Source organism: Homo sapiens, chromosome 9 (assembly GCF_000001405.40).
Source record: "Homo sapiens chromosome 9, GRCh38.p14 Primary Assembly".
NCBI classification, from domain to species: domain Eukaryota; kingdom Metazoa; phylum Chordata; class Mammalia; order Primates; family Hominidae; genus Homo; species Homo sapiens.
In genome coordinates this window covers 109,129,880-109,144,400 of record NC_000009.12, presented here as the reverse complement: position 1 = coordinate 109,144,400, position 14,521 = coordinate 109,129,880, and the positions used below count along the sequence as shown (strand labels likewise).

General features: G+C 39.6%; 1 protein-coding gene across 1 annotated transcript in view; it reads left to right on the top strand.

Annotated features, from left to right (window-relative positions):
- FRRS1L (ferric chelate reductase 1 like) overlaps nt 1–14,108 on the top strand; it is a 36,957-nt gene extending 22,849 nt beyond the window's left edge. Inside the window, exons 4-5 of the mRNA NM_014334.4 lie at nt 2,812–3,058; nt 6,774–14,108. Coding sequence (NP_055149.3) covers nt 2,812–3,058; nt 6,774–6,946 — 420 coding nt within the window. The 3' untranslated portion in view covers nt 6,947–14,108. The remainder of the gene's footprint in view (nt 1–2,811; nt 3,059–6,773) is intronic.

The following is a 14,521-nucleotide window of genomic DNA, read 5'->3' as shown; positions in this document are numbered from 1 at the left end:
AGACTGTCTCAAAAAAAGAAAAAAAGTAGCACTGACTGACAGGATTTGCAAGTGGATTGGATATATGGGTTGTAGGTGTGTCGTAGGAAAAGACTGATAAGCAGTCTAAGCAGTGGCTGGTCTGGTGGCTTTATTCTTGGAGAGGTCACCAGGAGAATAGCCTTCAATGAGTTCCAGTCCAAGTAGTAAGACAATGGGTACCACTGGTAAGACTGCATGGATAGATATTAGTCTACTTATCTCCTGCCCTAGAGGCAGCAGGAGAAACAGCAGGGCATGCCACACCCAGAAGCTGGCTTGCATTGAAAGTGACCACTTCCTGTCCTAAATGCATTTGCACTCGTGGTAGGGCTGTTAAGATTAGGGGAGTGAGGCAGAGTGAGGAGCATTCAAATTTTGTTTGATATTTTGGTATCTAAAGGCCTATAAAGTATCTACTGTCATATTATCTGTGAAAGTAGAGGTCTCTTTTTTTCTTGTATTATTCCAAGAAAAAGCACAGATTAATTTTTTTTGAGAACCTAATGTATAGGAAAAACAAAATGGAACCCCTTTTTAAAAGCGTTTAACTTTTTAAAAATGGTACATTATTAGCCGGGCGCAGTGGCTCACAATCCCAGAACTTTGGGAGGCCGAGGCAGGCGGATCCCCTGAGGTCAGGAGTTTGAGACCAGCCTGGCCAACATAGTGAAGCCCTGTCTCTACTAAAAATACAAAAATTAGCTGGGCATGGTGGCGGGTGCCTGTAGTCCCAGCCACTCGGGAGGCTGAGGCAGGAGAATTGCTTGAACCCGAGAGGCGGAGGTTGCAGTGAGCCGAGATCGCGCCACTGCACTCCAGCCTGAGCAACAGTGAGACTCTGTCGGGGAAAAAAAAAAAAAAAAGGTGCATTATTGTGTGCGTGTGTGTGTGTTTTAATTAGACTTTACGTTTTACAGCAGTTTTAGGTTCACAGTGAAATGGAGCCGAAGGTACAGATTTCCCATATACCCCCTGGGGAGCCTCCCCCATTATCAACATCCTGCACAGGATGGTACATGCATTACAACTGATTAACACTTTTTTTTGTAACTTTTTATTTTTTTGTGATGGAGTCTTACTGTATTGCCCAGGCTTGGAGTTCAGTGGCACTATTTCGGCTCACTGCAGCCTCCACCTCTCAGGTTCAAGCGACTCTCCTGCCTCAGCCTCCCAAGTAGCTGGGATTACAGGCACCTGCCACCACACCTAGCTAATTTTTGTATTTTAAGTAGAGACGAGGTTTCACCATGTTGGCCAGGCTGGTCTTGAACTCCTGACCTCAAGTGGTCTGCCTCAGCTTTCCACAGTGCTGGGATTATAGGCGTGAGCCATCACACCCGACCAAACTCTTTTAACTTTTTTAAACTTGTTTTGAAAAAAATGTAAACTGTAGGCAAGCAGGAAGGATAGTAAAGGTTTAAGTGACCCTCCCACCTCAGGCTCCCAAGTAGCTGGGACTACAGCTACTTAGATTAACAAAATAATAACTTTTTTATTGTGGTAAAACGCACATAACAAAATTAACCATTTTATTTTTTGTTGTTGTGTATTTTTTTTTTTATTTTTATTTTTTGAGACAGGGTCTCACCCTATTGCCCAAGCTGCAGTGCAGTGGCACAAACAAGACTCACTGCAGCCTCAACCTCCCCAGCGATCCTCCTACCTCAGCCTCCTGAGTAGCTAGGACTACAGGCATGAGCCCCATGCCCAGCTAATTTTTTAATTTTTTGTAGAGATAGTGTCTCACTGTATTGCCTAGACTGGTCTTGAACTTCTGGGCTCAAATGATCCTCCTGTCTTGACTTCCCACATTGTTGGGATGACAGGCACTAGTCACCACACCTGGCCAGAATTGACCATTTTATTTTATTTTTTTGAGAAAGGGTCTCACTCTGTCATCCGGGCTGGAGTGCAGTAGCACCAAAATTTATGATTTTAAAGTGTCAATGCAGTGGTATCAACCACATTCAGTGTTCTGCAACCATCACTACTCCCTAGTTCCAGAACTTTTTCATAAATAATGACATTAGCCACACATGCTTTATTCTCTGTACTGCTTGCTGCTACTGCTACTGCTACTGCTACTACTACTGATTATTATTTTTTTGATTGTTATTTTCTGGAATTTTGGCATTTAAATAGCAAATATCATAATCCTTTAACCCTAAATACTTAAGTAGGTTATCTCCTAAAATCAAGAATGTTCTCTTTTATTATATAGTTTATTAAATTCAGGAAGTTTAACATTGATATGATGGTATTATTAAATATATTGTTTGTTTTCATATGTTGCTACTTGTCCCAATACTGTCCTTAGGGAAATTTTGGGTTTATAGCCCAAATTTCTATGTAGGAACACCTAGAACTGCATTTTGTTGTCATGTATATTTTGAAATAGTTTCTTAGCCTTTTTTTTTTTTTTCTTTTTTTGGTCTTTTATGACACTGACTCCTTGAAGATTATAGGCTAGGTATTTTTTTAATTTTTTTTGTAGAATGACCTTCAGTTTGAGTTTGTCTGATTGTTTTTTCTTGATTAGGTTGGTTTGTGTTTTGGGCAGGATTACCACATAGGTGGTAATGTCTTCTCCAAACATCAGTCAGGAGGCACTGAATGTCACTTATTGTGATGGTAACTTTGGTCTCCTGGTTGAGACTTTTTAATGGCACTTAAAAGAATTTTTTTGGTGGGATTTCAAATTGCAGAGATGATGGAATGTATATTTCTAGTGACCAGTGTGCAAAAGATGAACCTTTGACTTTTTTTTTTCTCAATCATTTCTCATGTTAGGGTGGTGATGATGTCATGGCCTGCGTCCATGATGACAATGGCAGGGTCCGCATACAGCACTTCTATAATGTAGGCCAGTGGGCAAAGGAGATTCAGAGAAACCCTGCCAGAGATGAAGAAGGAGTTTTTGAGAACAATCGCGTCACCTGCAGATTTAAACGCCCTGTGAATGTTCCCAGAGATGAAACAATTGTTGATCTGCATTTGAGTTGGTATTATCTGTTTGCTTGGGGTCCAGCCATTCAGGGTAAGCTTACATTTCAGCATCTGGATTAAACGCCAGACACCACTGTGCTTGTGTTCATTGTTAATTGAAGTCACACTGTGTGCACAAGAGAGCGATAAGCACTCTGGATCATTTAAAGGAAAAGGAGATGCGACTCCTACCTTCAGAAGGTTATAATGGACTTATTATAATGGACTTATTATACGGACAAACAAATGAACAGTTACACACATGCAAAGCTACAGCAGTACAAGATAGTATGTCATGAGTGATGTGCTTAATGAAACAGATCATGTATCTGCTGTATGTAGGGCTCTGTTCAATTCTCACAGCATTCTTATTTACTCCTCACCATGTCCTTGAGAGGTATAGGTATTATTGTCCTGATTTTAGAGAGATTAAGAAACTTGGTCAAGGCTATACAACTAATTAGTAGAAGAATTAAAATTCAATCCTAAGTCTGTCTGACCCCAAAGCCCATGAATACTCTTAACTCCTATGCTGTAAATATAAAAAGACTGAACGGGGGCCAGACGTGGTGGCTCATGCCTGTAATCCCAGCACTTTGGGAGGATGGTTTGAGCCCAGGAGTTCAAGACCAGCCTGGGCACTATAGTGAGACCCTGTCTCCATTCAAAAAAAAAAAAGAAGAAGAAAGAAATAATAAAAAGTACTGAACAGGAAGGGCTTCTGGAGACTTCTCCAGAGATTGACACCAAGCATTTCATTAGGGCCCACTTTGTGACTATTCTGTTAGTCACAAATCTACCAAATTATCCCATAGTTTAACCCATTACTCCTTAAATATTTATGTGTATAGGAATTACCTGGCTATATTGTTAAAGTGCAGTTTTCTGTAGGTCTTCCCCTCTCTCCTCCCCTCTACTGGTCTCCCCTCCCCTTCCCTCCTCTCCCAGGGTCTTGCTCTGTCACCCAGGCTGGAGTGCAATGAAACAATCAGAGCTCACTGCAGCCTCCACCTCCCAGGTTTAAGTGACCCTCCCACCTCAGGCTCCCAAGTAGCTGGGACTACAGTCATGCGCCACTATGCCTGGCTAACTTTTTTGTATTTTTAGTAGAGACAGGGTTTCACCATATTGCCCAGGCTGGTCTTGAACTCCTGGGCTCAACCGATCCACCAGCTTTGGCCTCCCTAAGTGCTGGGATTACAGGTGTGAGCTACCATGCCTGGCAAGATTCTGCATTTCTAATAAGCTCCCTGGTCATGCTGGTTCATTGATGACCTCATTTTGGGTGGCAAGTCTCTGCAGCATTTGCCCAGCAAAGACCCAAGGATATCATGAGACCTTTTAGAGACTGCTAAAATCAAGTTACACTGAGTCTTGAGCATTCCTTCTGGTTGATTAGCCTAAGGGCCTGCTCAAGAATGGAAGTGAGTGTGGTTTGCAGTCCTTGCACTGAGAATTCATTCTGGCTCCTGGTAATTGCATCTTTCTTTACTGTGTGCTCATCAACTATTTGCTGCCTAATCTGATCTGGTTGTTTTTTTCCTTCAATTCGTTTCCACCAATCAGCCCAGAGATGACATAATCTACCTTTTATTTTGCCTGTTGCCAATTGGGAAGACACTTGACTGTCTCCAGATTGGTGACACCTTTTCCATTTGCTAATTTCCCAGATTACCAACAGTGGCTCTGCAGTTATAACTTCAATTACTTTCGGTACCCTGGGAAATAAATTATATCTCAGCCTGGAGAAATGGAGTAATCTAAAATAGTGGGATTTGAAGTCTAAAAATTTGAGTTTGAGTATTGGTTCTGCCCCTTGGTAGCTGTATAATATTTAGCCTATTATTTAATTTCTGAATTTCATTTCCTTATATCTAAAGTGGGGATAATAATACTTCCTATTCCATGGAAATATTGTAAGGATTAAGTGAAAACAAGTATTTGAAATTGCTTTACCAATTGGAAAAAGCTGTATTTTCAGAAGGTCATCTTTTTACATATATGGCAGACTAGCCTAAAGTTCAAAGCCTTCTCCAAATCTGGTCCTGCTTTACCTGATAAGCTCTCTCAAAACTTCTGTTCTTCTCACTAACTCTAAGCAAAACAGGCACATTCCTACCCCATATACTGGCTTCTGCTTTTCTTGTTTCCTGAATGCCCTTCTATTTTTTTTATGTTTTTATTTTTATTTTTTTTTAAACGGAGTCTCACTCTGTCGCCCAGGCTGGAGTGCAATGGCGCGATCTTGGCTCACTGCAACCTCAGCCTCCCAGGTTCAAGCAGTTCTCCTGCCTCAGCCTCCCGAGTAGCTGGGATTACAGATGCCCACCACCACACCCAGATAACTTTTGTATTTTTAGTAGAGACGCTGTGTCACCATGTTTGCCAGGCTGGTCTCAAACTCCTGATCTTGTGATCCGCCCACCTCAGCCTCCCAAAGTGCTGGGATTACAGGCATGAGCCACCACACCCGGCCTCCTGAATGCCCTTTTAATTGATTATATCCTACCTATTCTCCTAAGGTCCCTGTAAGGGGGAAAACTTTGAACTAAGGCTTGAAAGGGGTATGAGGTTGGATTTCACTCAAAGAAGGCATGAACTGTAGGCGCATAGTTAAGTTGAGCAGCCCTTGCAGGTGACCAGTGAGCTGAGGTTAGGTAGGAGAGGTGACTGGGATCTATTGAGAGAAAAGTCTGCTCTGTTACCCAGTCTGGAGTGCAGTGAAACAATCACAGCTCACTGCAGCCTCCACCTCCCAGGTTTAAGTGATCCTCCCACCTCAGCCTCCCAAGTGTCTGAAACTACAGGCATACAAACCTGAGAAGTTTGATTTTTGCTAACTGGGGCCAGCACGGACACTAAGCAGGGACCTGACATGTCAAGTTTGGCAGGGCTTCCCTAGCAGATAGGACCTTAAAAACCCTCACTCTGAGCCCTATTCCTAAGGAGACCTTTGCACTGAATGTATATGCCTTAGTCTCCCTAACCCAAGTTTCAAATGGATTATTCAGGAGGTCAGACACTTTTAATCAACTGAAGATTATTAAATATATTTTACACACAGTCTGTACTTCTTTCCACTTGTAACAAAATTAAAAGAAAGTTTCCCATCCAAAGACTAGTTTGGTACTTTAATCATCCCACTTTCTATACCATTCTACCCTAATCTGCCAGACACACAGACACACACAGACACACATCCAGTATACCACACTCCCTCTGGCATGGCCTGGGCAGGCTACTAAGTGTCCCACAGACAGTAGAGGAGGGCTTCCATCTGTAAGGGAGACGTTAGTAGTGTTGTCAGGAGTTGTTGATGATCCATATATATACAAGATAGATTTGAGGGAAAAAGTTAGTAGTCTCTGCTGTTTGAAATAAAAATATAGTTTGCCCATTTGGGTATTAATAAGACAAAACTCATAGAGCCGTTTTAGGAGGCAATCATACAATAATCACACAAAATTATGTAACTAGTAGTTTTAAAATTGAGATGGCAGGAAACAGATCAACAGCATTGTTCTGATGGGGGAGTGCAGATTAATAAGAACTAGTCTTTTTGGATAAATTTAACTAATTTCTATGTTCTTTATTATATGTACAATGATAGAGAATTCTGATAACTCAAATACCTGAATCCAGATCTTTGTAACCACTGCTTACGTATTCAACACTAAATAGACTTTTGATTTTTCCATTGTTTGCCTATACCATTATAAATCTGTTCTTTTTTCAATTGCCCCTGCTCTTCTCTTTTTTTCTTAAAGGCTCTATCACTCGACATGATATAGACTCACCGCCGGCTTCAGAGCGTGTTGTCAGTATTTACAAGTATGAAGACATTTTTATGCCATCAGCTGCCTATCAAACCTTCTCATCTCCATTTTGTTTGCTTCTGATTGTTGCTCTGACCTTCTACCTATTGATGGGAACCCCCTAACCACAGCTGCAGGGCCAACAGATTACATGGATTGGGAAGTCTTTAGTATAAATATATTTTTTAAAGAATATCCAGTATAATTTTAGCTTCAATTATTTAAGAAAAAAAACCTCATATAATTTCAGCTTTTTGGAAGAAAGAACAAGCTTCTTTTGTAGTCAAAGAAGATTGTTTAATAATGACCCTATACTTTTGGAACATACTTACACCTTTTCTAAGCACTTTCACATATGTTTTCTTATTTAACTTCACAACATCTCTGAGTTGGATTGATGAAAATTGTGATTGCCATCTTCCTGAATGGGATTTGAGACCCAAAAAGACTGCCTTTTTATGATCCACATACCATATAACTTTGGCTAGAAATGACAAATAGAAAGGCAGAGAAGGAACTAAGTATAGAAATCATGTCTCAAAACAGTCTTTACTATGAGTGCTATAGCACAGAGAGTTATTTTGAATATTACTAGGGAGAACTTTACTGAATGTCATAAGTTCACAGTCAGCCTTTTGGGCAGAAGAAATTTCAAATTTCCGTAAAGCAGAAGTGCTTTTGGATATTTACACAGCCAATGGGGAGATTGGAGGAAAATACAATGATATGAAAATAGTTCATATTTATTTGAAATTTTGGCCGAGCATGGTGGCTCACGCCTGTGATCCCAGCACTTTAGGAGGCCAAGACGGGCAGGTCACCTGAGGTCAGGAGTTCGAGACCAGCCTGGCCAATGTGGTGAAACCCCCGTCTCTATTAAAAAGTACAAAAATGAGCCAGGCGTGGTGGTGCACACCTATAATCCCAGCTATTCGGGAGGCTGAGGCAGGAGAATTGCTGGAACCCAGGAGGCGGAGGTTGCAGTGAGCCGAGATTGTGCCAGTGCACTCCAGCCTAGGTGACAGAGCCAGACTCTGTCTCAAAAATAACTAACTAAATAAATAATATTTATTTGAAATTTCTTCTCAGTTAGAGAGCAGCTATGGGAAAACATTTTTACTGCTATTTGCAAAGGTTGGAGACCAAACTGTGAGCATTCCTGAAGATGTAAAGTTGTGTTAATGATATTAAAAAAAAAAAAAAAGGGAATTCTTAGCAGTTAGAATTTGAACTTTTCTACCACTGAATTTTATAAAACTAAGGTATTCATCTGTGGTTACAGTGAATTCTCTTGTCAGAGCCAGCATACCTTAAGTGTGATTAAAAATGTATTTTTTTTTTTTTTTGCGATGAATTTTCCCTCTTGTCGCCCAGGCTGGAGTACAATGGTGTGATCTCAGCTTCACTGCAACCTCCGCCTCCCAGGTTCAAGTGATTCTCCTGCCTCAGCCTCCTGAGTAGATGGGATTACAGGCATGTGCCACTATGCCTGGCTAATTTTTTTGTATTTTTAGTAGAGATGGAGTTTCACCATTTTAGTCAGGCTGGTCTCGAACTCCTGACCTCAGGTGATCCACCTGCTTTGGCCTCCCAGAGTGCTAGGATTACAGGTGTGAGCCACCGTGCCTGGCCTAAAAATGTGTTATATCAGACAAAACATCTTAGTAAAAATTTAGGGCATTTTAATAATAAGCCAACAGTTTTTGAGACTGTAGAGATTTTGAGTAGAATTTTTTTTATGAGGTGGCTTTTTAAAAAATAATTGAAAATGGGAAAATGACCCATAAAGTGAATTCACCTAGAATATCCATTTAAATGTTCAGACTTGTGGCTGAGCGCGGTGGCTCACACCTGTAATCCCAGCACTTTGGGAGGCCAAGGCAGGCGGATCACCTGAGGTCAGGAGTTCGAGACCAGTCTGGCCAACATGGCAAAACCTTGTCTCCACTAAAAATACAAAAATTAGCCGGGTGTGGTGGCACATGCCTGTAATCCCAGCCACTTGGGAGGCTGAGGCACGAGAATCACTTGAACCTTGGAGGCAGAGCTTGCAGTGAGCCAAAATTGTGCCACTTGCACTCCAGCCTGGGTGACAGAGGGAGACCCTGTCTCAAAAAAATAAGTAAAATAAAATGTTCAGACTTATAAACTAGACAGGTAGTCAGCATAATTCATAGTAATGCCTTGACATTAGGCGCCCCAAAGGACTCCTTTGTTCTTTGTTCCAAATGTCTGTGCTAACTGCCCATTTTGAGGAGAGAAGTCTGCAGGTATAGTTAGTGCTGCTGAGACATTTCCACTCTGGCATTCTAGAGTTCTCTGGCTTGCCCTTGTTGCTTTAAAGCTGGTTCCAACTTCGTGGGCTTTATGATTGAGCAACACTGGTGATTGTGATTTCTAATACCACCCTCCAGATTCATGTCACAGGTGAAAGTCTGCCTGTGGGGAGAGCTTTCACATTCTCCTGGAGTTGAACCAAAATAAGGAAAACATCAACAAACACAGTTACCAAAAGCTTCCAAGGAGGGATGGAGGAGAAATTCTGTTCATTGCAGATGGGGAGAAATTAAATGACATCAAGTGCATAATGGAACTGGGTAGGATTCAAACTCAAGTCCCCTGGTTCAAGTCCTTGACTCCACTCTGGGCATGGCTAAGTCTGGCCTGTGTCTCATCTTCTCAGCTCTAGTGGCTGTTTAGTAGTGAAGATACTGATATGCAGGCAGCCATGTTGTAAATAAGAAGCAAATATTTTTATATTTCTCTCTCTTATGTGTATAATATTTGAGCTACAAACAGGTTAAAACAAAAGAGAGACTTCAGCTTAGTAGCAGGCAGGGAAGGAAGAAGTGAATGCAGCTTCCTTCCGCTTACATTTCTAATCAAGCTAATTATTTCACTAGTGATTTCTCATTTGATTACCGATTTTGCTTATTTATGCTTAGAACTTTCAATGACTTCTCAGTGCCATTAAGGTAAAATGCAAGCCATTTCTGTGACCTGCAATATCATCTTTTGCCACTCCTCCTCACTTGCTATGTCTTAGCAAGACTGAGAGGCTCTCAGTTCTTCAGACCTGCTCTATCTCACCTCTCATTTTGTTCATATTCTCCACCTCTTGTGCTTGATGAACTCCTATTCACCTATCAGGTCACAACTTAAATATTTTTTCCTCCAAATCTCTGGACTACATAGGTCCAGGCCCCCATCAAATGCTCCCATAGCACATTGGGCTTCCTCATCAACATGCTCGTTATACTTTTCTAGAATTGCTGGCTTGTCCTCCTTGTTATCTCCCTAATGCAGAGACCATTACTCATCATTGTAGCAGATATTTATCCATATCAGGTACTCAGCAAACATTTGTGGAATGAATCTATATGTGAAACTATACTTCTATGGCAAGTTTGTTTGGTTCAGAAGGCTTGCATTTCATGTATATTGGGAGACTGGCCAACATTTTTATATTCTTCCTCCTATGCTCAAACCATAAATAATTATGTTAGCAAACACTGAACTTTGTCTTTTGAAACATAAATAGAAACATCCTTAGTAACAGTACTAACAGTAATCATTTTTCAGAAATAAGAATTCACACCAGTGATACAGAATGGCCTTTGACCATTATCTCAGAGAACTAGCAGTCGATAGACATGCTGAAGTGATAATTCCAAAAACTTCAGTTTCATTCATCCCTACTTAAATATAAGAGAATCAACTTCTATTTTATGTCTGTATTCCCATTTTCTAATATACTACTTGTCACAGAGGAGATGCCCAACCAGTGTTTTTCGTAAAGTACCTGAATAGATTAATAATAATGCTAGTGAAATATATTTAGTGCTGTTCTAAGCACTTTACATGAATTAACTCATTTAATCCTCACCGCAACCATAGGAAGTAGATTCTATTATTTATCCAATTTTACAGATGAAAAAACTGAGGCTGGTCACTTGACATAAATTACCAGTGCTGGCCAGGACTTTAGAGACCATTTAATCCAATGCTCTTATTTTACAGAGGTGCAGCTGAAGCCTAAGGAGGTGATATGATTTCCTACACATTCATGCACCTTCGTGCACATCCATTAAAACTTTTATTAAATGGAACCCACTATCCATACTCCAATTAGCTAGGTGCCTTTTTTCCCCCATTTAGTAATTTACAATTAATTGGAGGACTTTTTATAGTTATATTTAGAGGAAAGGAGCATGTTTTACTCTATATCAACTTTCTTTTCTGCTTAAAAGCATTTTGATTCTTTATTTTACCAGTCATTTTAGTTCTTTTAATAGGTTTAATACACAGATCAAACAAGACTTAAATACATTTTTAACAATGTAACAATTTAAAAGAAATTGCCTAAAACCTAGGTCTTCTAACTTGGAGCCCAGTGCTTTTTTTATTGCTCCGCTGAGTCAAAAGGTGAATATATAAACATGATTTCAGATAGAATGCAGAAGCTGTATTTAATTAAGTTGGCTTTTGTCATTAAAGAAATCAGAAAGTTTGGACAACTCAGGAATGGATTTCCATCCTAGATGGTATTTACTACTATTTCTGGAATTAAGTTTACTGTCTATATTCAGGATTTTGTGCATAAGAGACGTGACCACTGAGGTTGTGTGTCATTCTTATCTCTACTCCAGGGGTCAGCAAACTTTCTCTGTTAAGGGTCAGATAGTAGTTTTTTGGCTTTTCAGTCTCTGTTTGGCTCTGCTATAAACAATACATAAATGAATGAGCATGGCTATGTTCCAATAAAACTTAATTGACACTGAACTTTGAATTTCATGTACTTTTCAAATGTCACAAATGTTTTCCTTTTGATTTTTTTCAGAAAGCCATTAAAAAAATCCAAAGACCATTCTTAGCTTGCAGGCTGCACAAAAACAGGAAGCAGGCGGGGTTTGCTTATGGACTGTGGCTTTCCCACCCTTGTTCTTAGATAGGGACACACCAATATATCATGATTAGTTGTAAAGGATACTGCCAGTAACATATTATTACTGGTTAGTTGTAAGAATATCAAAGTTAGTGAATAATTTGCTTTTAAAATAAATTATTGTTGATTTATTTTTATAAATAAATGGCACAGGGCATCTCATGCTCTTGCATTCTAATATATTTTCTGGAATTGATGCAAAAGTGGTGGCAGTAAAGTACAGAGCCGGCTAAGCAGCAGTTTTGTCTTAAGTAACTGTGGTGATCATGGACAACCATTGCGCTGAACTGCTCTTCATGGTAAGGATTTCAGTGTTTCAGAGTAATTCATTAACCTAGAGATGTTTTAAAAAGTTGTATCGGCCGGGCGCGGTGGCTCAAGCCTGTAATCCCAGCACTTCGGGAGGCCGAGGTGGGCGGATCACGAGATCAGGAGATCGAGACCATCCTGGCTGACACGGTGAAACCCCATCTCTACTAAAAATACAAAAAAAATTAGCTGGGCGTGGTGGCGGGAGCCTGTAGTCCCAGCTACTCAGGAGGCTGAGGCAAGAGAATGGCGTGAACCCGGGAGGTGGAGCTTTCAATGAGCCGAGATTGCCCCTCTGCACTCCAGCCTGGGTAACAGAGCAAGACTCCGTCTAAAAAATAAATAAATAAAATAAAATAAAATAAAATAAAAGTTGTATCAAAATCTGCTGCACCATGGGAGTGTTTTACACATGTGATGTGGCATCTACCTTATGTACCATAATGGAAAAATGTTTGAGAACCACTGCACTAGGCCAAAGGCTGGGATGTGTATACTTTGCTGCCGTGTATAATTGTATGTCCTTGTTCTCTAAACGGAATTGGTTATGTTTAGTGAACAGTTAGGTGGTTCTCCATGTGTTTATATACACAGACGATCCCCGAATTTGGATGGTTCAACTTAAGAGTTTTCAAACTTACGATGATATGAAAGTGATATACATTTGATACATTCCTACAACTTACAATGGGGTTATGTCCCATAATTGTTTTGACTTATGATATTTTCAACTTACAATTGATGGGTTTACTGAGACATAACCCTCTTGTAACTTGAGGAGCATGTGTATATTTGTACATACATGATGGTGTGTGTTTATACACAAAGGCCTGAATATACACACCATGAGCATTTGAAGGTCTTTGTCAAGGTTGTTTCTGTTTCTGATCTCTTGCCTACTTTAAAACCCAAGAGGTAGAACATTATGCATATTACAGGCAAAACTATGCTTGAGTTTATAGCAATGTAGTTTGTAGAAAGGATTCCTGGATGTTTTACTAAGCCTTTCCTCCTCCATTCAACATTATATGAATTGTTAAGAACATATAAAGTACCACTGTTGAATGTGACTTTTCTATACTGTTAGTTAAGAAACCAAGACTAGTGTTAGCTGAGTAACTGGCATGTTGATGCAACCTATACAGGTTTTGTATTTAATTAGGTTCCTTATTCAGTTATTCAAGTATCCAGTTATTTAGTTTCAAGGTAGATTTCTTTGTTTTTATATTTAATAAAAGACTTGCATATAAGTTCCTCTTCATGAAAATAGTGGCTAGGCTAGTGTGATTTTAAGTATGTCTGGCAACTCAAAATGTAATGGATTCATCAAGCTATTTGGGATTTTTAACATAAAACACACTGCTGCTTGATTAATGTGTTCAGTTTTCCCCTGGATATTTGCTATTAGGCTGATAGCCATTTGGTTGGATTCTTCTGGAGAGTAATTGATTCTCTAAGGTAATGGGGTGCTGCAGTGGGTGTAGCATTCACCCAGGTCACTAGAATCCTACCTGTTTCATCACATAGAAGGCCCTGGCCATGGGGAAGAGTGAATGCAGCTTCTCCGGATGCCTTATTTCCACAGACATGCTGATATGCTGGAACAATCTGGCTCCAGGAGTATTAATATACTTTTTTGAGACTGTCTACAAAATACTATTTTGTAAAAACTATGCCTTTACATAGACATTGATAGGTTATATTTGTTTTATAACAATTGTGTACCTAATGTTTGTGATTAATTTTGAGATTTATGTATATTTATAAGCCTATCTTATGTAAATTTTTACTCTAAGATGTGTGGCACATTACTAATAAAGACGTGGATTTCTATTTATGTAAAGTAATTGTAGCAATATTCCTAGATGCTACCTAAATGATTGTTCTGTCCATTTGCCATCACAAATACTTTTATCTTTGGATGATTATGTTAGTCAGAATATATTAATTAGATTTAAACTTTAAAATAAGAATTACAACATAGTTTGAAATTCTTCCTGTTGATGTAATTAAAGTTAGTTTATAATTCCTTATTGCTTTGCTCTGGTGCATTTTTCTTTTCTGTTTCTGGTTTTAAATCTTTCATCAGTAAAGTCACTCTCATTTCTCCCTGAATCTATAGACCTTGGAGAAGACGATAGCCTGTCTTGTCTGACAAAGAGGAAAATCATTTTGCTGTCATCAGGTAAAAATTCCCGTAGAGAAACAATCTGTAAAATAATCTTACATTTATAGCTTTGGTTTAATACTTTATTAGGTAGTGAATGGAGGCCTATAATCCCATTTCAAGTGTATCAGTTGGTTAATTGCACATGGCTAGCTCTAAGAATTTCAATAATCAGCATTATTGGCAACTAAACCATATAATATTTTGAGAATAATTAGAGTTTAGTTGTAGAGCATAATGAATCACCAGGGAGGTCGTTGAGCTGCCAGTACTACAGGG